Source organism: Homo sapiens, chromosome 13, assembly GCF_000001405.40.
Source record: "Homo sapiens chromosome 13, GRCh38.p14 Primary Assembly".
Lineage (NCBI taxonomy): Eukaryota > Metazoa > Chordata > Mammalia > Primates > Hominidae > Homo > Homo sapiens.
The window spans coordinates 42,983,503-43,007,626 of NC_000013.11; the positions used below are offsets into that span (position 1 = coordinate 42,983,503).

The following is a 24,124-nucleotide window of genomic DNA, read 5'->3' on the forward strand; positions in this document are numbered from 1 at the left end:
GCAGTGAGCTGAGACCACGCCATTGTACTCCAGCCTGGGCAACAGAGCGAGACTCCATCTCAAAAAAAAAAAAAAAAAAAAAAAAAACAATGATAAGACCTTAGCTAGCTGTACTATCAATCCTTCTATCTATTCTCCATCTGTACATCATATTCAAGATCCAAAATTTGGTAGATAGACATAGGTTTGAATACTGGTTCTGTCACTCAAAAAGCCATGAGATCTTGGAAAATCATTTTATTTTCAAGACTCAGTTTCCTCATCTTTAAGGTAGCAAATGGCTTATCATGAAAAGAATATTCAATAATGTACCTGACATACTTAACACAAGGTCTAGCACATGGCTAATCATGGAAAACACATGAGCTACTAATTGTTATTTTGGTTTTAGTCTCTCAGGGGTACCCAGTTTAATTTTTCCAGATCATAACTAATTTACTTTATGCTACAACAGGATTCCAATGCTTCATTACATTTCTCATTTCAAAAATAAGTCAAATAGTAGTAGTATTAGTATCTGATAATCATTGAGACATCTACCCAGCTCATTGAGACATGTCATTAGGAAGAGTTAAATACTATCTGTTGCTTTATAAACTTTCTGCATGCTAGAGATTGACTTAAATAATCCCCTAATGAATAACCATCTATATTGAGCCATCAAGATTACTCATTACAATCAATCACAGATACTATCTTCCAATGTACTATTATTTCATAACATTAAAAGGAACTCCAGCATTACCCAATTCTCCATCTCCAGGGAAGAATACTAGACTGATGCATTCAGGCCACTTAGCATCTATAAGCAGAATTTTATTCTCATAATCATATAGAGAAGGAAATTGAACATCTGAACATTGCAGTGAGGAAGAAATAGTGAAAACAGTTCTAATATGCTCTAATAAGTTTGTTAAAACTTGTACTTCATTTCAGAATATTTTATGTGGCTTATTCAGATGCAAATAATGTGAGTCAAAATGACTTAAGTTCTGTCTCAGACATAAGAAACCATACTTCAGGATTGCAGAAAATAGACACTAAATAGTGATATTGATAAAAATTTAACACTATAACTTAGTGACTTTATTATTGTATATCCCACCTTGTATTCCATCTTATAATTACAAAATACTTTACAAAATTTAACAATGCTTTTTAAGGAGAAAAGAGAAAAATCAGGATTGGCCATGATGAACTGCTCTTATCAAACCATCATTTATTCTCCTTTTATCTCCCTTGAGAGTTTGGGGATGAAGAGAAGGATTACAAAGATTATTTCCTTCCCTCAAGCATAACAAACTGGTGGGACGCATTAAGGTTGGATCAAGGAAATTAGGAAATGTTTTTCTGGGCCCTGAAGGAGGAAATGAGAAAAAGAATGGGTTTCCCCAATCTGCATAGACAGCATGCCAACAACAGACATAAATAAGATGTCTAAGTGTTGAGGTTGCAGTAGGGTGTTTTAGAGACTGTATTAGTTTGAGTCCTTCAGAAGCTGACACCAAGATGGGGTTAGACAAGCAAGAGATGGATAAGGGGGAATGCTTGTGAAGGATGAAAGTGGGAGCAGGGGTAGGGAAGGAAAGCTTTGAGAACAAGACTAGGTCTGATTACTATTGCCAAAACCTAAATAAAAGACAGTGAGAGAGGCCCTCCCAAAGAAAATCATATTTATTCTGGATTGAGCATTGCAATGGGAATACAGTGGGTATATTCAAGAAGGCAAAGGAAGACAAAGGTTTTTTAAGGAAAAGTGAGGAAAGGAGGGTGATACAAGTTGTTTGAGACAAATATCCTTGGCTACAAAAATCAACAAGGGTAGAATCAGTCCAAGGCTGGACAGACAGTTGCTAGGCAGATGTCCTTGCAGAAGTACTTTTTGTGTAAGGTTGTAGCTTTTGTGCAAAGTTGTAGTTTTTGCAGAGCCTTTTGTGAGAGTTCTTGTTATGAGGCATATGTGCATGAGAATCTTCCCTTCATGGCCCCAGCTCCACGTGTTTGACACAAGTGACCTCATTTTGAGTCTGACAACTTTCATTCTATGAAAGGACCGAAGGAAAGAGGATTGAGTAGCAAGATCCTCAGTGTTATACAGTTCTGAGAAAATCTTGGACACGAATATGGGGAGTCTTCCAGCAAAAGTTGCCTAATAGAGGAGTTCTGCATGGGCCAGGAATAGGCTAGCACTAAAACCATCCCAAGAAAATTGTATAAAATTGAGCAAGAGAAAAACAAAACAATAAAATCCAACCGGGCTTGCAGCAGCAATCATTAAGCCAGCTTGCCCTTTGGTCCACTTCCTTGTAGCTGGTTGTTGCTCACTAGCCCAGCTTTGAGCTGTCCAATGGACAACCCCAGATTTTCTAGCCCCTCACCCTCCATGAATCCCCTTAAAAACCCTTGCCCAGAACCCATGGAAGAAACAAACTTGAGGCTTGAGAATTCCTCCTGTTTCCTCACTGAGAATGTCGCGATGATTAAACTCTTTCTCTGCTGCAAGTGCCATTGTCAGTGTATGGGTCTGTTGCTGCCCAGAGGGCGTATAAGCCTGGCAGTCCTGCAACAGCACTGGCACCCTGGAATGCTCAGCCATTGGCTGGGATGGGTGCAGCACAAGCCAGCACTCACAGGCAAGGTGTAATGGATCCAAAAGGGTGGCAGCTGGGGCCGTCAGCTGACTATGCTCCCCACTGTAAGTTCTTCTGAAGACAATCTGAATAACAAGTTTCTCTGGCTGTCCAGAGGCCATTTAAACTCCTGTGACATAATAAAAAATAAATATTTAGCCACGGTCCCTGGTTCCTGGGACAGAGCTCCCCAAACCCTTGGGATTCCCAGAGTGCTAAGTGTCTTTTTTATGCTAATGTCTGTTGGTGAGGTCCCTAGACAGCTAGCTTAAGAGACTGGTAGCTAGAAAAACCAGCTATGCGATTGGGGGGTTAAAACTTTCAACCCCTGGCCGGGAGCAGTGGCTCACGCCTGTAATCCCAGTACTTTGAGAGGTCGAGGTGGGTGGATCACAAGGTCAGGAGTTCGAGACCAGCCTGGCCAATATGGTGAAACCTCGTTTCTACTAAAAATACAAAAAAATTAGCCAGGCATGGTGGCACATGCCTGTAATCCCAGCTACTTGGGAGGCTGAGGCAGGAGAATTGCTTGAATCTGGGAGGCAGAGGTGGCAGTGAACTGAGATCACGCCACTGCACTACAGCCTGGGTGACACAGCAAGATTCCATCTCAAAAAAAAAAAAAAAAAAAAAAAAAAACAACTTGCAGCCCCATCTCAGTTTCTGGGGAGAGGCGGGGGCTGGAGATTTAATCACCAATGGCCACTGATTTAATCAATTATGCCTAGGTAATAAAGCCTCAATAAAAGTTCTTGAACTATAAGGTTTGGGGGTCTTCCAGGTTGGCGAACACATCAAAGTATCTACCTAGAGTATGGAAACTCTTCACACCCCACCACCTACCCCTTCATCTCCCAAAAGATGCCTTACGCATCTCTTCCACTTGACTGAGTTGTATCCTTTATGATAAACCTGTAATCATAAATATAGTAATTTCTGCGAGTTTTGTGAGTCACTCTAATGAATTATCAAAACTGGGGAAGGGGAGATGCATGGGAACCCCCAACTTTGTAGTCTGGTGGGTAGACATACAGGTAGCCTGGAGACTCCATTTGCAGCTAGTGTCTGAAGTCTGAAGTGGGGGGCAGTTTTGTGGGACTGAGCCCTTAATTTGTGGGGTCCACACTAACTCTGAGTAGTTAGTGTTAGAATTGAACTGTGGGACACCTAGTTGGGGTCACAGTTAGTTGGTGTTAGAATGACATATTTGATGTCAGGAAAAAAAAAACCACACAACTCCTAATGATCCTGTAGACCAAAGCTCAAACGTCACCTCTAAGGAAAGATCTTCCTGCTCCCAAGACCAGCTGAGACCCCAGCTTTCCTTGCAAGCTTGTCCAGCCCAGGGCCCACAAGGTGCATGTAGCCCAGGTGGCTCAGGATGGCTTTGAATGTGGCCCAACACAAATTCATAAACTTTCTTAAAACATTGAGGTTTTTTTGCGATTTTTTTTTTAAGCTCATCCACTATGATTAGTGTTAGTGTATTTTGTGTGGGGCCAAGACGATTCTTCTTCCCATGTGGCCCCAGGAAGCCAAAAGATTGGATACCCCTGCTTTAAAGTATACATATTTGTTCACATATTAATAAATGTCTGTCCCATCAATTAGACAGTAAGCTTCATAAGGGCTTATTTTGTGTTGAATAGTTATTTGTTCCTAGTTTTTAATTAGTTCTTTTAAGCTAGAGATCCTCTCATTCCATGGTGGTTATGAGGATTGAAAGAGTTAGTATACATAGTGTGCATTTACATACTAGCTACTACGTAAGTGCTATTATTATTATTGCTCATGTTGAAGTCTCTACAATACTAATACGAAGTAGGCCACAAAAATGTTAAGATTAACATAATTTACATACAAATTCAGCTCAAGTTAACTGTAAAATAAAATTCCATATTATAGGTTCATTTTCAAAATATATTTTTATTTTCTTCAAACAGCATCAAGCTAAAGGACCAGGTATGGTTAGACAAGTACATGAATGTGAATTCAACCCTATATTACCAGCACAGGCAAGACCCCATTTCCCAGAATTGGATAAAACTAGGTAAATGCATGTCTTTGTCTTATATTTATCTAGAGGTGATATAAATAATGTAAAATATTTACAAACAAGCAGAATATTAAAAGGAAGGATAAAGGTTTACTTTGGATTAGAAGTTTGTGTAAGCTTTTTTCTCTTTTAATTTGTGTAGACAGCTTTGATATTTAAGGACAAGACAAAAATCACCAAGTAAAAATAATTGGGAAAGCCAGTATGAATTAGTAAATACTTATAATAACTTAAATCCAAATTCCATCAAGAACTCAATCTTGGCCAGGCGCGGTGGCTCACGCCTGTAATCCCAGCACTTTGGGAGGCCGAGGCAGGCAGATCACAAGGTCAGGAGTTTGAGACCGGCCTGGCCAATGTGGCGAAACCCCGTCTCTACTAAAAATACGAAAATTAGCCAGGCATGGTGGCATGTGCCTGTGGTACCAGCTGCTCAGGAGGCTGAGGCAGAGGAGTCGCTTGAACACGGGAGGCAGAGGTTGTGGTGAGCTGAGATTGCGCTGTTGCACTCCAGCCTGAGCGACAGAGCGAGACTCTGTCTCAAAAAAAAAAAAAAAGAACTCAATCTTGTCTGAGAGTCTATCAGAGGTACTCAGAATAATTTAATATATTGATAGCCACAGATTTTTACTAGTATACTTTCTTTCTATGCAAATAGGTGGTTTATTTATTTATTTATTTATTTATTTGAGACAGGGTCTCACTCTGTTGCCCAGGCTGGAGTACAGTGGTACAATCACAGCTCACTGTAGTCTTGGAGCTCCTGAGCTCAAGCTATCCTCCTGCCTCAGCCTCTTGAGTAGCTGGGACAGAGGTATGTGCCACCGTGCCCAGATAATTTAAATTTTTTTTTTTTTTTTTTTTTTTTTGGAGAGACAAGGGACTCCCTATGTTACTCCTGGACTAAAGCAATCCTCCCACATTGGCTTTCCAAAGTGCTGAGGTTACAGGCACAAGCCCCTGCGCCCGACCACAAGTAGGTGTTTTAAACCAGTGTTTTTTTTTAACAAGGCACAAACATTCGACTTAAGGGTGACAGCATAGTACTTTACCAGGAATAAAGTTATGTTTTACACATATACACGTGGAAAAATTAAAACCCTATGAAGTTGGTATTGTCTTATATTAAGTAATGAGGAAACTGAGGCATAAAGTAGCTAAGGATTTTGTTCAAAGAGCAAGTGATGGCATAATCAGAACTTGAACCCAGGTCTACCCAGCATCAGAGCCCATATTCCTAATCCCCACACTGGGGCTGCAGGAGGAAATTAATGGAAGGATTCCCACAAAACAAGACAAATCTTTTACCATATAAATAAATTCACATTATGAGTGGACAAATGAAACTGTACTATTAAAGCACTTTATCCTCTTTTTTCTTTTTTTTTTTTTTTTGCTTTTTGTTTTGTTTTGTTTTGTTTTTGAGACAGAGTCTCACTCTGTCGCCCAGGCTGGAGTGTAGTGGCGCGATCTCGGCTCACTGCAAGCTCTGCCTCCCGGGTTCACGCCATTCTCCTGCCTCAGCCTCCCAAGTAGCTGGGACTACAGGCGCCTGCCACCATGCCCAGCTAATTTTTTGTATTTTTAGTAGAGACGGGGTTTCACTGTGTTAGCCAGGATGGTCTCCATCTCCTGACCTCGTGATCCGCCCTCCTCGGCCTCCCAAAGTGCTGGGATTACAGGCGTGAGACACCATGCCCGGCCTCTTCATTTTTTTAAATCAGAAAGTGTTTCTAATTTTTATCCCCAAAATAAATAAAGCCTTCTTTATTTTGGGGCAGCGGGTAGGCAGCTAATTCTACTGAGATATTTGCCATTCATTTTCCTTGGTTTTCCAACTTCATTAAAGGAAACAAGTGAGAAAGTGAATCTAAGTAACTAATGGAGATGCAACAAAAATTCAAAGTCATCCCAACAGGATCTCAGACATCAAACCCCTAAAAGGGAATATATAATTCTGTACTTACTGCAACTGGTTCACATGAGGAAAAAAAAAAAAAAAAAGGAAGACTCTGTGAGAGATAACTAAACACTTCCTGGTATTTTTTTAATGGTTCATTTGAAAATCTTTTCAGGAATCGCAAAATAGTGTACAGTGAGCTCTTCAGGGTATTAAGGCCTGGATAACCCATCAGAAAGCTGCCTCTTTCTGAGCAATTTGATCTGGCAAGATTCCAGGGTAATTACAACCAAATAAGAAAACAGATGCAACAGTTAATACTTATGCGATGATATGAGCTTAGAAATAAATGGTTGTATCTAAATAAATGCTTTTTAACAGAAAAAAGTCATGCAAATCATGTTCATCGTTAACTATTCATGGACACGAGACCATATGTCTGTGACCTTTGTTACTGTTAAGTACTATAGCTTGTAGATACGTGGGTTACTTGAAAGTAATTGGCTGCTTCTACTGTGGCGAGACACTAATTATTCTGAGGAGGAAAGAAATGCAACAATCTCTAATTGATTTCCAGATTATCCACCCCATCTAAGGGTAAACCTAAGCTAAATAATAATATTAAAGGCCTGGTACTTTCCAAAAGCTAAGGGATGAAAGAAAATCTACTGTTTATCGGCCATAAGGTTATATACTGTTTCTTAGCAACCAGGGTTTGTCTTTCAGAGACTAGAAGTCGATGAAAAAGGAGAGACTAAAAATAAAACCATCTGGACAGTTCCAATTCACAGAGGCAGCACTTCAAAGGCAGTGATGTTGTGATAAACCATACTGTTGAGTTAAAGTTCATTCCATTGGCTAGAAAGAGAGGCTCATGACACTTGCTTAATAAATGTTTCCCGGATACTCACTGCAGTCCCTGAACCAAAGACCAGGAATAAAAGCTACCTATCTGTTCCTGCATAGAGCACATATCAACATCAGGGATGAGAGGTACTATGGTCACTCACCTCCTCACTCTCTCAGCTCCACTCCTCTGGTTGTAAGAGGCTAGTTTATCTGCGAGTCTTGCTGGGACGTAGGCTTGCTCCTACCTAGAGGCAGAATTTGAACCTTCTACCCCATATCACATTTCTTGTTGACCCTTACCTGTTAGTGTCTGATACAGTAATTCCGTTTAGGACACCAAGTTTTGTTTTTCTGTTTTGTTTTGTTTTGAGACAGTCTCGCTCTGTTGCCCAGGCTGGAGTGCAATGGCGCAATTTCCGCTCACTGCAACCTCCGCCTCCCGGGTTCAAGCGATTCTCCTACCTCAGCCTCCCAGGTAGCTGGGACTACAGGCACGTGCCATCACACCCAGCTTATTTTTTATTTTTAGTAAAGACTGGGTTTCACCATGTTGGCCAGGCTGGTTTCGAACTCCTGACCTCAGGTGATCTGCCTGCCTTGGCCTCCCAAAGTGCTGGGATAACAGGCTTGAGCCAACGCGCCTGGCCCAGCACCAAATTTTTAAAAACAGTAAGGGAAAAGTTATTTCCATACTGGTTGGAGTATGAGTTCTGGAGATACCTGGAAAATGACATCTTACTGGATGCCTAGGCAGTTCCGACACACCCATATCTTTCAATCCTGTAGCCAGTCACAAAAATCAGGAAAGTAGTATTCCTGGAAGGAACCGGGCTGGTTATTTACCAAAGGACTGCAAACTAGCCGACTCAATTTATAAGGTGCGGCATGGATACTTTCATTTAAGCAAATGAGCTTTCATTCAGTCAAAATCCCTGTTGTTGGGCCCCTGTGGTTTTAAACTCCAAGGACCAAGGTGCTTGTGAGTGAGTATGTTTGGGGCCCGGGCTCCCGCCCCGAAGCCAGGTTGTTAAAATACTCACCGCCTCTGGCCCGCGTGCACGACGCTCTCCCGCGAAGGGCCCTTAGGGGCTGCCTCCAAACCCTCTCTCTGGTCTTCCACGGGGCTCAGCTCCCCTTGCCGCCCAGAAGGGTCCTGGGGATCCCGGGTCGGGCGGGAGGCAGGGGAGGCGCCGAGCCCGGAGTTCACCACTCTATTGCGGGTGTTCATGGTTCACAGCCCGCGGGTCCCGGGCCGCCGTCGCTGCGGGAGGGATGCGGCTGGGACGCTTAGCGAGTCTCAAGATGGGATTCCAAAGTGCAGAGGCAGCGGTTTTAACAGCTGAGTTTCGGTTTCTCAGAATCAGCAGCAGACTGCGCCCGCCCCAGAGAACTTCCCCACGTATTCTCCACTGAGGCCCCGTCCGACCTTATCGCGGGTTAACAGCCCAGGATGTTGACTTGAGCTGGCTTGGTCGGCTACAGGTGAGACGGTTTAAAGTCTCACAATCACCTTAGAGGTTAATCAGAATAACTGGGATCAGCCACGGACACCTGGTGAGCGATTAGCCCGCAGAGTGACTACAATCCTGAAAGATACTTGAGAAACTGTTTAACAGGCAACTCTAATTTGAGGTTACCGCTGGATATTTGAGACTGTAAAAAATATATTAACCTTAAAATACCAGAGATTAGGTCAATAACTAAAATCATCTCAACAAAATGTCGCCTTTTATCAGTAATGACTGCTGTGTGGCTGTTACCAATGCACATACTTTCAAGTTAGAGGAAATGGAAACTGAAATCAAAAGAAAACAAAAACCTACAAAGCCGGAGAAGTAAGCTAAGGTAGACATGATTCTCCAGGCAGCCTTGCTAAGTAATTGACTAGACATTCGAGAACTATTAAAAATACCTGCTCTGTGCAGAACAGTGTGCAACGGTGATGTGGGGACATTTTAAAATATGGATGTGTAAGGCTCAGTTCCTGTAGGTTCAGGGGTGAGCTCTGGCATTCATATTTTTGAAAAGCTCCCAGATGATTCTGATGTGTGCCAGGGTTGGTCACCAGGGTCACAATGCCGTCTACACAAAGATGAGTGAAGGCTCTTCCCTCATGCTACCTGCATTCTAGGAGTATCCTAGTAGACAGGTAAACAAATGGGAATGCCACTTTGGGATAAATGAAATGACAGGCAGCTGTGGAGGCACAGAGAAACTGGGGATTAGCCCTCTGAGTAATTCAGGAACAGGGACATTTGAGAATGAGCCACCAAAGACATAGGAATTCACCAAGAAGAAGGAGATGCTATGGCAGAGGCTTGTCACTTAAAATGACATGGTGTGTACTTAATTCCAGGGGTTGTCATGTGGCTGGAGCACCCCAGTCCTAGGTCAGCAAGACAGTTAGGAGCTGGACTGTCTTCCTTATATTATTGGTGCTTAGAACAAAAAGACACATACAGGTTTGATAGCTAATGAAAGAATGAAATTGAAGGGTGGGCCAGGGTGGGACAGGAGAGGAGAAAATAATGACAAGGAACATGGTAGGAAAGTCAGTCAGGATTTCTATGCCATCCTAAGACATTAGGGTTTTGTAGAGTAGGCCAGAGTTTCACAAATTTCAGTAAGCATCAGAACCACTTGGAGGAGGGTGCGTTAAAACAGATTTATGGCCAGGCACGGTGGCTCACTCCTGTAATTCCAGTACTTTTGGAGGCCGAGGCAGGAGGATTACCTGGAGATCAGGAGTTGAAGACCAGCCTAGCCAACGTGGCGAAACCCCACCTCCACCTGGGCGACAGAGAGAGACTCCATCTCAAAAATATATATATATAGTTTCTGATTCAGGTCTGGGATGGGGCCCAAGGATTTGCATTTCTAACAAATTTCCAGGTGATACCAATGATGCCAGTCTCAGGATCACCCTTTGGGAACCACTGTTGTAGGCAATGTGGAAGGCACAGGAAGTTTTTCAATAGGGCAGTTACTCAATAATATCTGTTTTACAAAGTTAGCTTCTAACAATGTGAAAACGGAGATTGAAAGATGAAGAGACTGAAATCGGGAAGATAAATTCAGAGCCTAGTTACGTCTAGGTAAGAAATACAGATCTGAGCTAAGGCAACCCAGAAAGTGGGGAGCAAAATCAAGACATTTCACATGGGCCAGGCTCAGTTGCTCATGCCTGTAATCCCAGCACTTTTGGAGGCTGAGGCAGGAGGATCACCTGAGGCCAGGAGTTTAAGGCCAGCCTGGGCAGCATGGTAAGACCTCATCTCTACAAAACAAATAAATAAAACATAAAAGACATTTCACATGAGAGATTAGCATAGATAAAAACTAGATGAAAGAGAGAATTGAGTACTGGAAGGCAGCAGAGAGAAGGGGAGATGGCTTTTATAGTGCTTTGAGACCAGCTTTGCCACATACTGGCCACACAACCAAGGCCAAATCTCTTAATTCCTCAGAGATCCAGTTTCCTCCTCTGCCTCATGTGGGTATTGTGAGGAATAGAGATCATCCACATCAGTGGTTCTCAAATGGAGTTGATTTTTCCTCTAGCAGACATCTGGCAATGCCTGGACATATTTTTGATTGTGAAGCCTCAAAGTGGGTAGGTGCTGCTAGCATCTAGTGTGTAAAGGCCGGGGATGCTCCTAAACATCCTACAATGCACAGAATAGGCCCACATGACAAAGAGTTGTCCTGCCCCACGTGTCAACAGTGTTGAAGTTGAAAAATCCTGATCTTCACAGTATGCCTACCTTATAGCCCCAGTAATTTAATGGTTGCTGTCTTTATGGTGACTTTTAGCTTTGTGACTGGATACGAGGTAGAACCATTAACCTAGAGGAGGGACAAGCTTTGAGGGAAGTTCTAAAAGTCTGTTTAGGTGCTGTTGGGTGTAAGGTACCAGCGGGGTGAGAAACGCAGACCTAGAGATCAACAAAAAAGAGGAACAGCAGGGCCTTTCTGGAGGCCATCTTCCACATTGTTCTTTACTAGGAAAATACCCCTGGAACTCTTGTTTCAAAGGAGAAAATTATTTTGGTGGTTGGATGAAATTTAAAGTTTGAGGAAGGGAAAACCCACACTGGGGGAAAACTGATTCTCCTAAAGGAGCTAGTAATAGGGATGTTGGCCTCAAGAATATACTTAGTTAACCATATTTGTTTCACAACACAACCACATGTCACACCAAAGTTTCAAACCTGAGATTTCTCACTCCATTCACTTCTTGTTTTACCTGAGATTTCTCACTCCATTCACTTCTTGTTTTGCCACATTCTCAAAGTGTTTTAAAAAATGTGAATGTGAGGCTGGATGCGGTGGCTCACACCTGTAATCCCAGCACTTTGGGAGGCCGAGGCAGGCGGATCACGAGGTCAGGAGATCGAGACCATCCTGGCTAATACGGTGAAACCCTGTCTCTACTAAAAATACAAAAAATTAGCCGGGCGTGGTGGTGGGCGCCTGTAGTTCCAGCTATTCCGAAGGCTGAGGCAGGAGAATGGCGTGAACCCGGGAGGCGGAGCTTGCAGTGAGCCGAAATCATGCCACTGCACTCCGGCCTGGGTGACAGAGCGAGACTCCGTCTCAACAACAACAACAAAAAAAAGTGAATGTGATTTATTATGGCAACAGACATCTACAGGCTCCTTTTGGATGCCCGAGAATGGGCTACTTGTGTATCATCCATTCTTTCACCGTAGGTGTGTGCATTTGGGCGAAAATAAGGGCTGGCCTTTTACTGGAGTTGTTCTTGGGTGCGTTTTTCTATAGTAGTGGCTGGTGGAGAGAAGCAGAGGTGAGTGGGGAGGGTCCTGGGCCCCTATCCCTATTTAGCCAAGTACTTTAGCCCCTTATCTCTTCTACTCACTAGGCCACTGCCTAATTTTGTTTGAGGCAAGAATTCAATGGCTTTTAAAAGTTTGAAAAACCACCATACTAGACAATTACCTAGGAATATGTTTTAAGAGACATGAGAAAGAAGTGAAATCTAGTGGGATTGTTACCTTACCTGAAATTTGGCCAATTAGAGATTCATTTAGGAAATGTTTTTCTTTTCAAATGAAACTGCCTCTGGGAAATAATCATGTATTCGTTCCTTTTGGTAAATGAGTTTAATCTGAGCAAAAGACATTTTGGCTGGGGAAGAGGAGAACTGAGTGAAAAGAAAAAGGATTCCAAAAGTTGTGTAAAGAAAAACATAAAATGAGGCATTGTTGGGGAATGGAAATTCAGAAATACAATGAGCAATTTTAGCCAGCCCTATGAGCTTTAAGAGAGAAGATTAAATCAAAAAGAAACTTTACCAATTTATTTTACTGCAAACATGTCTAAGTGTGTCTTCTTTCAAGAAAATAAATGGGAATATATGTCTGATTTTTAAATTAATTGCCTTAGATTACTCCTGCATTAATATGTACAAATATAGAGAGAGATACATAAACTCTAAGACTTTTCTTGTCATAAAATGTGTAAATGAAAAAAATCTTAGTTTTTGAAAATTCTAAAAAGTCACATTTCCTTAAATTTGATTCTTCAGTGGAAAGTTAGATTAATCTAAGAGATTTAGGACAGCAGTTATCTAAAGGTTTTTTTTTTCTCTTCTAACAAAGGAGTTATGTAAAACTCTGAATATTTGGTATCTCCTCATTTTTAGTGTGTGTGTGTATGTATGTGTTTGAGCATACCTGTATTGTGACAACTCCATGTGAAATTCTTCAAATCCTACCATAGAATTGTGAAATGGTACAATTATGAGTCACCATAAGTTCGTACAGGAAATATTTTTTGAATGACAAGCATGTATCATTCTTTGCATCATACCATGGAGCTACAGTGGTAAGCAGACAGAATCTTGTTATTCCACCTTCATATTTAAGAGCATCTAACCACTTTATTCTAAACAAGGAGACAGAGGCTTAGAGAAGCCAAATGACTCACCAGCACTGCGCACAAACTAGTGGCATAGCTGGAACATAAATTTAAGTTGTCCGAGCCCCAAGTGTAGCTTTTCATATTTTGGAAGATGATTGTGACAAAATGTCTCTTTTGACAAAATTCAGAATTCGGCATGTTTTTTACTTATTATAATTATCCCAATGAGCAGCTGTGCATTACTTTCTAAAATCAAAATGACTATGCCAAAGTTTCTGAACCTGTCAGAATCAACATTAATAAAAACCTTAACACTCCAATATTTACCCCTATAATTACACGATCAAATGATCTCTACAATGATGCTGTTTTATACAACTTGTCAACATTTCATGAATTGCAAATATGCTACATTTGGGCTAAAAGGCCTTTTCTTTAACCGTGTTAAAATAGTGAGCCTTATAGTGTAGTGCAAAGAATTCTACTTAAGAATGGAAAGATACACTATTTTTCGGATGACAATGTGTACTGTCACTTGGGGAAATGAGGAATGTAGAAATGTGCTTTAAATGATATTTCCTACCCTCAGATAGGTGGCTGAATTTCCTTGTTTGTAAATTCAAATCTGAGGAGTAGGTAACAGCTGCCATATCTGGGTTCTAACACTGTGTAGTAGCTGTCACAAGATCTCTGCTAGCTGCAGGAATGGAAGGAATTTCCCTTAACTTTGGGGAAACTTCTGTAGACTCAGTGGCGTTGACAGGGAGATTACCCTGAAGGGTTTCTTTAGCTGTGATAAATGAATCAAACAGAAACTCTCTAAAGTCCTCTTCATTTTTTGTGTGTACTTTTTTTTTTTTTTCTCATACAAAGTCTCACTCTGTTGGCCAGGCCAGAATGCAATGGCATGATCTCAACTCACTGCCACGTCTGCCTCCCAGGTTTAAGTGATTCTCCAGCCTCAACCTCCTGAGTAGCTGGGATTACAGGTGTGCACCACCACACCCAGCTAATTTTTGTCTTTTTAGTAGAGACGGGGTTTCACCATGTTGCTCAGTCAGGCTGGTCTCAAACTCCTGACCTCAAGTGATCCGCCTGCCTCAGCCTCCCAAAGTGCTGGGATTACAGGCATGAGCCATCGCAGCCGGCCTTAAAGTACCAGTTATTTTTACTCAATATCTGTTCCTTTTCCAATGATGCCCCTTCTTAGGGAACTCCTAACTGTTCTGATGTTTTAACTCCAAGCCAACACTTTTGTGAGCTTCATGGTCCTTCGTAAATATCACCAGGTATGTAAGAAAACGTGGTAGAGGGGAAAGAGTAATGGCCACAAAGGCAGAAGACCTGAACTTGAGACCTGGCAAAGCCATTTAAAGAGTTTTGTGACCTCAGGCAATCATTGAAACTCTCTGAACTTTAGTTGCTTTATTTGTAAGATGGAAATATTAATCATAATAACCCACCTGTCCTATCTACCTTTTAGAAGCTTGTGAGGGCCATAAATTGCACCTTGATGCAATATAAGTTGATGTTATAATTTTTGAGTTGTCAATGTTAGAGCTTTATATATTTTTTCTAATAATACTTAAATTTGTCCTCAAAGAATTCTTAACTTCAGTTTCAGTGGCTTTTGGTTTTAAATTGCTAAAGCATTACAGAGCTATATCTTTAGTGGGTTTTTTTTGTTTTTTTTTTTTTGTTTTTTTTGAGACGGAGTCTCACTCTGTCGCCCAGGCTGGAGTGCAGTGGCTCAATCTCGGCTTACTGCAAGCTCTGCCTCCCAGGTTCATGTCATTCTCCTGCCTCAGCCTCCCAAGTAGCTGGGATTACAGGCCTGCACCACTACATCCTGCTAATTTTGTATTTTTAGTAGAGACAGGGTTTCTCCATGCTGGTCAGGCTGGTCTTGAACTCCCAACCTCAGGTGATCCGCCCGCCTTGGCCTCTCAAAGTGCTGGGATTACAGGCATGAGCCACTGCGCCCGGCGAGTGTGTTTTATCTTGAAATCCCTTTCAGAATAGAAATAAAGTAGCGTTTATAGTTTTACTTACCAATATAGAAATGCCTGGCACAGAATACAGTTTCCAGTGAAGCTGGAACTCTGTTGTCATAACTAGGAGACACTGGGCATTCCATAGACATTTTGTGACAATGTTCCATCCTGATATCTTCTGGTAGCTAACAAGAGTTTCATTTCCGGGGATAAGGCCTTGGGTTCTCCTGTTTGACTTGACTTAGAAAAGGAGTCATATTAGGAATTTCCATGACCTTTCATGTTTCCAGGACTGGGATATAGGGCTGGGATTCTCCACAGGCACATCACATGGGTTAGAGTTCCAGACTTTTCAGTATAGTCCACAGTAGCCCACCAATTATTAGGTTGGTGCAAAAATAATTGCAGTTTTTATCATTAAAAATAATGGCAAAAACCACATTTACTTTTGCACCTACCTAAATATATGGCTCCTCTCCTTGAATTACCAGTAAGACAGTCCTTGACCAAGAGAGAGTGATGAGAATGGTTAAAGTAATGAGGTTACAGGCAGTCTGAAGAAAGTGAGTAGTCCCTGTGTTATCCATCAATGCAGGACACTTCTCCAGGTGGCCATGGACCAATCCAGTTCTCCCTCATTTCTTGCGCATGGTTGTCAACAGAATGTGCTGGGAATGTTGTATCCTGAGATAGAAAGAAACGGCCTGAAATAACCCAGGCCTTGTTTCTGTCCCTCCTAAGGAATGTAACATCTTGAGTTAGAGAGGGACTGCCTGGGACAGCCCAGGCTTTGTTCCTCTGTCCCCTAGAAGCAGGATGTCCTTCAAAGCTTTGCCCAGTGACATGGCCTCAAGTGCATAACCCAGGGCAGACTGCTTTTCGGGGTCCCTCAGCTGTGCTGCAAGTGGGGCATGCACAGTCAAGACTGCATCCTCCCTGGGCAGCTTTCTTGAGCCTTGGGGACTTGTTCACAATGGATCTGAGACATCTTCTGTTCCTTACCATCTGTAAGTAGTAAACCAGTTTCATGTAACTTGTGTGTGAGTGTGTTCTGTCTCATTAAACTCAGACAAGTACCTAACCAGTATATCGTGGACCTAAATAGTAGCCCAGGATGCAGTGGGCATAAATATATCGACTCCTGTTTCTGATGTATGGCATAGTGAACTTTGCTATTCTCCATGCAGTGGAGGTTCTCACTCAGGGTCAGCGATTAGTGAACTTGCTTCACAATGAAGAGCTTGCTGTTCAAGCTTCTGGTTTTGTCAAATAGTCCTGTGTTTAGATTTTGGCTCTACTACGTACAACTGTGTGACTTTGGGCAAATTACTGAACATCTCAGGGCCTCAGTTTCTTCTCCTGTGAAATAGGAATAATATTTACATGACCTACTGAATAGTGTTGTTGTATACATTAGGTAAGTATGAAATGCTTCATATCATGTATCCAACATAGTATATTCAATAAATGTTGTGATCATTATTATTTAAGCTCTGAAAAAACAAAGTGAGCAGGGCAAAATACTTGAACAAGCACTTTACACGCACACACACAAATATCCAAATGGCTAACAAATATATAAAAAGGAACTTCATTTGTCACAGAGGAAATGCAAACTATAACCATAATGAGATATCTCTATACACTCAACAAAATGGTTAAAATGAAAGAGAAAGACTGTTTTGGGCAAAGAGGTGAAACAACTAAAACAACTCTGCTAGTGGACTTGTAAATCAATACAACCTTTTTAGAAAACAGTTTAGCAGAATCATCTAAGGCTGAACATTTTTATATCCAAGCAATTCCATTCCCAGATGTCCAACACAACTGTGTACATGTATTCACCAAAAGTCTTATATGAAAATGTTCATATCAGCATTATTCATTGAAGTGTAAAACTAGAAACTACTCAAATGCCTATCAATCATAGAGGAATAAATTGCAGTATATTCCTATAATATAATACTACATATGAGGAGTTATATGTTTGTTATTCTGTAAGTACTAGTTGGCCATTATCTTACTTCCTCAGGCCGTCCCCATGTGTCGTTGGACTTCCGTCTAACTCATCTCACTTACATAACTTACATTAGTTAAACTTTAGGCTCAGCTGCAGTTGTAGAGAATGAAAATAACTACAGTTTAAATACATGGAAGTTTGCTCTTAGATGCCAGTCCGGGCATATGCAGGCCAGGGGCTAGGATGAGGACTTAATGGAGTCAAGGATCTAGACTTCCCCATTTGCTCCACTCTGCCTTCTCTACCGTGTTGCTCTTACTTGCATCCAACACATACACAATGTAGCCAGTGAGAAGGGGGAAAAGGATACTGGAGGGCAAGTTCATTCCCTTTAAGGGTACAACTTAAAGATTGCATACAATGCTTTTATTTACGTTTCACTGGCCAAAATTTAGTTGCATGGCCAAACCCAGTCACAAGAGAAACTAAGAAATGTGGTCTTAACTAGATGTAGGCATACTGTAGTAGCTAGCCTCCAAAGTGGCCTCCAATGGCTCTTGCCTTCAGGCATTTATATCCTTATGCTGTTTGTTTCCTCCAACATTGAACAGGACTATCTGGTGTAACCTTCAGCCTCCATTAAGTTGACTACAATTCTAGTTGACATCTTGACTGCAACCTGAGGCAGAAACATGCGGCTAAGCTGCTCCTGAATTTCTGACTCTTAGAAATTATTTGAGAAAATAACTATTTAATGTTGTTTTAAGCCACTATATGTCAGGATAATTTGTTATAAGCAATAGATAACTAAAACAAGAATTGAGGAGAGGAAATTAAAGTGAAAAGAGAACAGGGGTGGGTGTGGTGACTCACACATGTAATCCCAGCACTTTGGGAGACCAAGGTGGGTGGATCATCTGAGGGCAGGAGTTTGAGACCAGCCTGGGCAATATGCTGAGATCTCTTCCCTACAAAAAATACCAAAATCAGCCAGATGTGGTGGCATGTCCTGGTGGTCTCAGCTTGGGACTTGGGAGGCTGAGGCAGGAGGATTGCTTGAGCTCAGGAGGTCGAGGCTTCAGTGAGCAGAGATCATGGCACTGCACTCCAGCCTGGGTGAGAGAGCAAGATCCCATCTCAAAATAAGAAAAGAGAATGGGACGTGGTGTATGAAATTTTAGATAGAGTGGCCAGGGGAAATATTAATGTGGCCTCTGAGTAGGGGTGTAAAGAATGTGTGAGCACAGGAAGAGTATTTTGGGTAAAATCATGTTTATAGTCAAAGTGTTTATCAACCAGTATGCCACGGGCACTGACAAAACAGAATAGGTGCCCAAAAAATAAACACTGAGACAGATCATAAACATTCATCAGGGCCTCAGGTGGAGCCCCAGCTGCATATCAGCTGTGAGCAGAGGGAAAAGAAGTCAAAGACCCTGGGGTGGGAGAGTGGCTGTGTTTGATAAACCACAAAAAGGCCAATGTGAGCAGAGGGAGAGAGCAGGAGGAAATGAGGACAGAAATATAATATAACATAACATGTGGGCCATACAGTATAGTGTCATTTAAGTCATAGTAAAGCCTTTGGCATTTATTCTGCATGAAACGGGAAATGTTTGAAAGATTTTGTGGAAAGGAACAACATGGTGTTATATGTTTTAACGTGATCACTCGGGCTGGTATACTGAAAACAGACTGAAGCAAAATGTTATAGATTGAAGGTTTGTGTCCTCCCTAAATTCATGTGTTGAACCCTAACCCCCATTGCGATGGTATATAGAGGTAGGGCCCTTGTGAGGTAATTAGGTTTAGATGAGGTCATGAGGGTGGGGCCCTCATGATAAGATTAGTGGTCTTATAAGAACAGGAAGAGAGACAGATCTCTCTCTTTCCATGTGAACAGAGGAAAGGCTGTATAAGGATAGTGAGAAGGAGGCCTTCTGCAACCCCAGGGGAGAGTCCTCACCAGACATTGACCCTGCTAACACCTTGATGTTGGACTTAAAGTTTCTAGATATGTCAGAAAATAATTTTTAGTTGTTTAAGCCACTCAATCTATGGTGTTTTGTTATGTCAGCCCAAGTTGACTATGACAAAAGGCAAGGGTGGAAGCAGGGAGACTGGTTGGGAGGCTGTTGCAATAATTCAGATGAAAAATGATGGTGGCTTGGGCCAGCATGGTGCAGCAGAGGTGGTGAGAAGTGGTGAGATTCTGGATATATTTATAAAGTACAATGAACAAGATTTTAAAAGTAAGATGAACAAGAACAGATTGGATGTCAGGTGTAGAGAAAGAGTCAAGGATGATATCAAGGTTTGGAATTTCAATCGCTGGCAGGATGGAGTTTTCATCAGCTAAGTTGGGGAAGGCTGTGAGAGGCATTTCTGATAGCTGTGGTGAGCCAGGGTATAGTCATGAGTTCATGTTTGGACTTGTTGTTTTGAAAGCCTGCTAAATATCCAAGTGGAGTAAGTTATTGAAGTGCAAGTGTGGAATTCAGGGAAAATGCCCGGATTGAAGATAAGAGTTTGGAACTCATTGTCACATAGAGTATATCCAAAGCCAAGTGATTAAATGAGATTACACAGTAGTGAGTTTAGATCAAAAAGAGTTTGGGTGGACTTGTCCACAGCTGTAAATTGTAGGAGCAACTGTAACACTATCAAACGAGAACTAGAATTCTCTCCCTGCTCACTCCACTTTCAGAAGTTTAGTTAATAAGAGTGCATGGTTTCCAGGTTAGTGAGCTGGGCCAGTGTTCCAGTGGTATAGGGTCAACACTAACAGTGTAAGAACAGACAGACATATCTAAACCTCTAAATCTGAAGTCCAATCAAGAATATTGTCATGGACAAGGGGGAAATGCTGTTGACTAGCAGCTGGAAAATCAGTTATTTGTCTTCCAGATCAGTGGTTCTCAATGTTGGCTATACTTTGGAATCAACTGGCAGGCTTTAAGCATCACTGAGGATTGGGTCCCACCCCAGGATTCCGATTTAATTGGTCTGGGGTGCAGCCTAGACTCTGGGAGTTTAAAATGTTCCCAAGGGATTCTGAGGTACAGCCAAGGTTGAAAACCACCACGGTAGCTAAAGAACGCTACAGTTAATAAGTCATCATTATCAGCACCTTTACAACCAGCTCCTAGTTTGCTTTTTGTTCAGAAAGATGTTAGAAGTGACTAAACTATGACAGCATGACTGCTCAGGAGGCTAAAAATAGACAAAATAACTGGGCACAGTGGCTCACACCTGTAATCCCAGCATTTTGGGAGGCCGAGGAGGGTGGATCACCTGAGGTCAGGAGTTCGAGACCAGCCTGCCCAACATGGCAAAACCCCGTCTCTACTAAAAATACAGAAATTTGCCTGGTGTGGTGGAGGGCACCTGTAATCCCAGCTACTTGGGAGGCTGAGGCAGGAGAATCGCTTGAACCTGGGAGGCAGAGGCTGCAGTGAGCCGAGATCACACCACTGCACTCCAGCCTGGGCGACAAGAGTGAAACTCCGTCTCCAAAAAAAAAAAAGTATAGGGAGAAGCATTAAACATATATTTTAAGTTGTTGCTAAGCAGGTATTTCTCAGAACATTAGGCCAAGACCCCAAGGATGTGTGGAAACAGAATAACAATTTGGGCTTTTTTGTTTGGTTTGTACCACAGTAGGTGGTGTGCAGTACAGCAGAAGAATCATCTACTGGTTTGTAAGGGAAGGATCACAAAGCATGGACACAGAGTGTATCCAAACATAGGCAATGTGAGTGAATTTAGCACTTTTCAGAAGAACGTAGAATAGGTAAGCATATACAAATTCTTTATTTTTATTTTTAGTTTTTCTTTTGAGACAGAGTTTCACTCTTGTCACCCAGGCTGGAGTACAATGGCGCGATCCTGGTTCACCTCAACCTCTGCCTCCCGGGTTCAAGGAATTCTCCTGACTCAGCCTCCCGAGTAGCTGGGATTACAGGCACCTGCCGCCACGCCCAGCTAATTTCTGTATTTTTAGTAGAGCTGGGGTTTCACCATGTTGGCCAGGCTGGTCTTGAACTTCTGACGTCAGGTGATCCACCCACCTCGGCCTTCCAAAGTGCTAGGATTAGAGGTGTGAGCCACCATGCCCAGCCACAAATTGTTTATTGATATAAGACATTTTTAACTGTTTGAATAGTGCTTTCAGAGTTCCTTCAAACATATTTCTATGTTTGTTTGCCAGAGTATAGCTCCATCTGAACCCCACTCAGTTGACCCCAAAAAGGTCACGCTGTTCTTGTGGCTACAGTACAGGGACATCATGTTGATGAGACAGGTAGGTTTCGTGGCACAGAATTGTGAAAGATAAAAGTATTTTGAAGAGCAAACCTATATCACCCTAAGTTTCTTTTGCTTTCAATAACTTAACATGACTCAATGTAGAGAGGACAAGCAAAATGCTAGAAAAGTGGTACAGTTTGTACTATGTCAGCATTAGATTTGGTGTTTAATTTAGGTTAAGACAATCCAGCAGACTTTGTCCCAAAACCTCGCATATTCACACAGAATCTGGCCATAAAAACAAAGTTGAGACCCAAATGAAAACAATGTTTTCTATTTCTTAGTTGTTTGATAGCAATGTGTTTTCTGAGGCAAAAGGACTGGGATCATCAGGCTGTTCTTCCTTTTTAGGGTGTATATAATCCAAGAAAAACGTGCTGCTGGGTTATAGAATGCTAAGGTTGAGTTTTAAACTCACTGGGAAAATAAATGTAGCAATCAAAAGTATCCTGTTGTAAATAGTAATAGGTGGATTAGCTCTTGGGTACTATCAACAACCTGTGCTTCAAACCAAATGTTTAATTCTGGCTAGAATCCTAAACTGTGTTCTAAGGAGATGACTGACACTGGTATTTTAGGAATGTTAAACAAGAATGTTCTCTGTATTGTCTTTTCTTCTTAAAAGCTACATGACCTTGAGCAAATTACTCAACTCTTCTTAAATTCATTTTCCTTTTCTGTAAAGCCTCTGCTATTTGCTTTTACATGATCTCAGGGACAAATGTGATTATTCCACATGAAAAATTATAAAGTGCTTTTTATAGTTAGTATCTAACAAGTTAACAATGGCATGCTGGATAATCTGCACTTGCAGATAGTATTGTAGCATGCATTAGTGAGATGGTACCATTTTTAGAGATAATGTGAATGTTCCCAAGAGAGTTTAAAGATCAAAAAGAAATTTTACATTTATTACATTATTTATCCTGATATAACCTGTGAAGAATGTTAGTTTTTCAGTTTTTAAAGATGACACAAGCAGCTCAGAATTATTGTGCAATAATTAATATGCACACACATATTTACATATTGTACAGTAATTAATATGCGCACACATATTTACGTACGTATTTATTGGGCTACTGCTATGTGTCAGCCATTTTTAAGCATTTTCACCTATGTTATGTTAGTTCCAAAAGCAGGCTTCAAATCTAACTCATTAAACTCTCTAATGTTCTCTTTACTAGCTAACTCTCTATTTTATCATATTGGGCATTTTAAAGGAGACACTATCCAGCAAAAAAGTGAGAATTAAAATATATAGTAACATCATACACAAGGCTCCCATAGGTATATGGATGAAAGATACATGCAGAGAAAAATGACAAAATATTCTTTTTTTTTTTGAGACGGAGTCTTGCTCTGTCGCCCAGGCTGGGGTGCTGTGGAGCCATCTCAGCTCACTGCAACCTCCACCTCCAAGGTTCAAGTGATTCTCCCGTCTCAGCCTCCTGAGTAGCTGGGATTACAGGTGTGTGCCACCATGCCCGGCTAATTTTTGTATTTTTAGTAGAGACAGGGTTTCACCATGTTGGTCAGGCTGGTCTCGAATTCCTGACCTCGTGATCCACCCACCTCGGCCTCCCAAAATGCTAGGATTACAGGCGTGAGCCACCGTGCCCGGCCAAAATATTCTTTATACATACACAGTGCTGAGGCTCCGAAGCCCATACTCCAAAATATGGCGCTTTAACATGCTGAACTGAAGAAGCCTCAAGGTCTCTCTGACCTTCCCCACTACCGCATACTGTCTCTCCTAAAGCACAGAATGAAGTTGAAGTTCCTTTATCTGCCTAAGATCCAGACCATCCCAAAAGAACAATTGTTTCTTTTTTTCCCCTCCCTGTAAGACCAAGATACAACCAAACCTGAATAAACCCTTTCACAAAACGATGTAATCTCTGTTCCCTGATCCATTCCTTCTCCCTGGTAATCCCCTCAACAGAATTCCTCTTTTTCCCCCTCCCATAACTTGTTTTGCCAACACGGTGTATGAACTTCTGAATCCCTGTTGGGGGATGAGTAATCACTTTGTGGTTCTCCCTATGTACAGCTTAAAAAATTCCTGTGCCTTTTCTTGAATTACTCTGCCTTTTGTGAGTTGAATTTTTAGTGAACCTTTAGAGGGCAAAGGGGAAGTTTCCCTACAATAGGAATACATTATTATAAATCTCTTTCAGATGACTTTTTAGAATTTTCAAGTTCAGAAAATTGCATACCTAAGAAGCTGATGTTAATGCAAGCAAACAAAGGATTGATATTGTGACCAAATGCAGGTTTAGCCACTGGCTGCTTGCAAAATCCAACAACAAGGACGAAGTGCAGTACAAACAAGGTGACTTCATTGTTTGAAGCTAGCAGTGGGGAAGTGGTTCAGGCTCCTGCCTTAAGAAAACCACTTTAAAATTCTCAGGCAAAATGCTAGGGTTTAAGAAGTGGGGAGGTGGTGAGGCAGTACAGGTCTACATGACCTGTTCCAGTGACTTGTGTTATTGCCCCAACTGGTGAATGGGCTGTCACCATCTCAGGCTTGTCCAGGTTGTC

The 24,124-nt window shown here is 41.7% G+C and overlaps 1 protein-coding gene and 1 long non-coding RNA gene across 13 annotated transcripts in view, besides 4 other annotated features; one reads left to right on the top strand and one right to left on the bottom strand.

The window, feature by feature from the left end:
- The window catches only part of EPSTI1 (epithelial stromal interaction 1), a 105,854-nt gene extending 97,115 nt beyond the window's left edge, over positions 1 to 8,739 (bottom strand). For 7 of the 12 annotated variants that reach the window (NM_001331228.2, XM_011535313.2, NM_033255.5 and 4 more), the window contains exon 1: positions 8,476 to 8,739. Coding sequence is in view for 5 of the 12 variants with exons in the window: in NM_033255.5 (NP_150280.1) it covers positions 8,476 to 8,663 (188 nt within the window). In the remaining 7 variants the exon portion in view is untranslated. Of the gene's footprint in view, positions 1 to 7,596; positions 7,681 to 8,475 lie in introns of all 12 variants that reach the window. The other 5 variants (XM_047430784.1, XM_047430781.1, XM_047430780.1 and 2 more) reach the window with 1 other exon arrangement.
- Positions 2,103 to 2,604: an enhancer, noted in NCBI's record as "H3K4me1 hESC enhancer chr13:43559741-43560242 (GRCh37/hg19 assembly coordinates)". NCBI's record gives its function as "activates a minimal SCP1, AML or CMV promoter by ChIP-STARR-seq in primed H9 embryonic stem cells {active_cell/tissue: H9 hESC(primed)}" and the evidence as "EXISTENCE:reporter gene assay evidence [ECO:0000049][PMID:30033119]".
- Positions 8,753 to 8,872: an enhancer, noted in NCBI's record as "active region_7657". NCBI's record gives its function as "activates an Ori minimal core promoter by ATAC-STARR-seq in GM12878 lymphoblastoid cells {active_cell/tissue: GM12878}" and the evidence as "EXISTENCE:reporter gene assay evidence [ECO:0000049][PMID:35858748]".
- Positions 9,133 to 9,372: an enhancer, noted in NCBI's record as "active region_7658". NCBI's record gives its function as "activates an Ori minimal core promoter by ATAC-STARR-seq in GM12878 lymphoblastoid cells {active_cell/tissue: GM12878}" and the evidence as "EXISTENCE:reporter gene assay evidence [ECO:0000049][PMID:35858748]".
- Positions 14,071 to 14,160: an enhancer, noted in NCBI's record as "active region_7659". NCBI's record gives its function as "activates an Ori minimal core promoter by ATAC-STARR-seq in GM12878 lymphoblastoid cells {active_cell/tissue: GM12878}" and the evidence as "EXISTENCE:reporter gene assay evidence [ECO:0000049][PMID:35858748]".
- On the top strand, positions 19,378 to 23,836 carry LOC105370179 (uncharacterized). Its single transcript, XR_941913.2, has 4 exons — positions 19,378 to 19,476; positions 20,933 to 21,026; positions 21,483 to 21,575; positions 23,761 to 23,836. It is a non-coding gene; the product is annotated as an uncharacterized LOC105370179 (long non-coding RNA).
- The last annotated feature ends 288 nt before the right edge of the window (positions 23,837 to 24,124 follow it).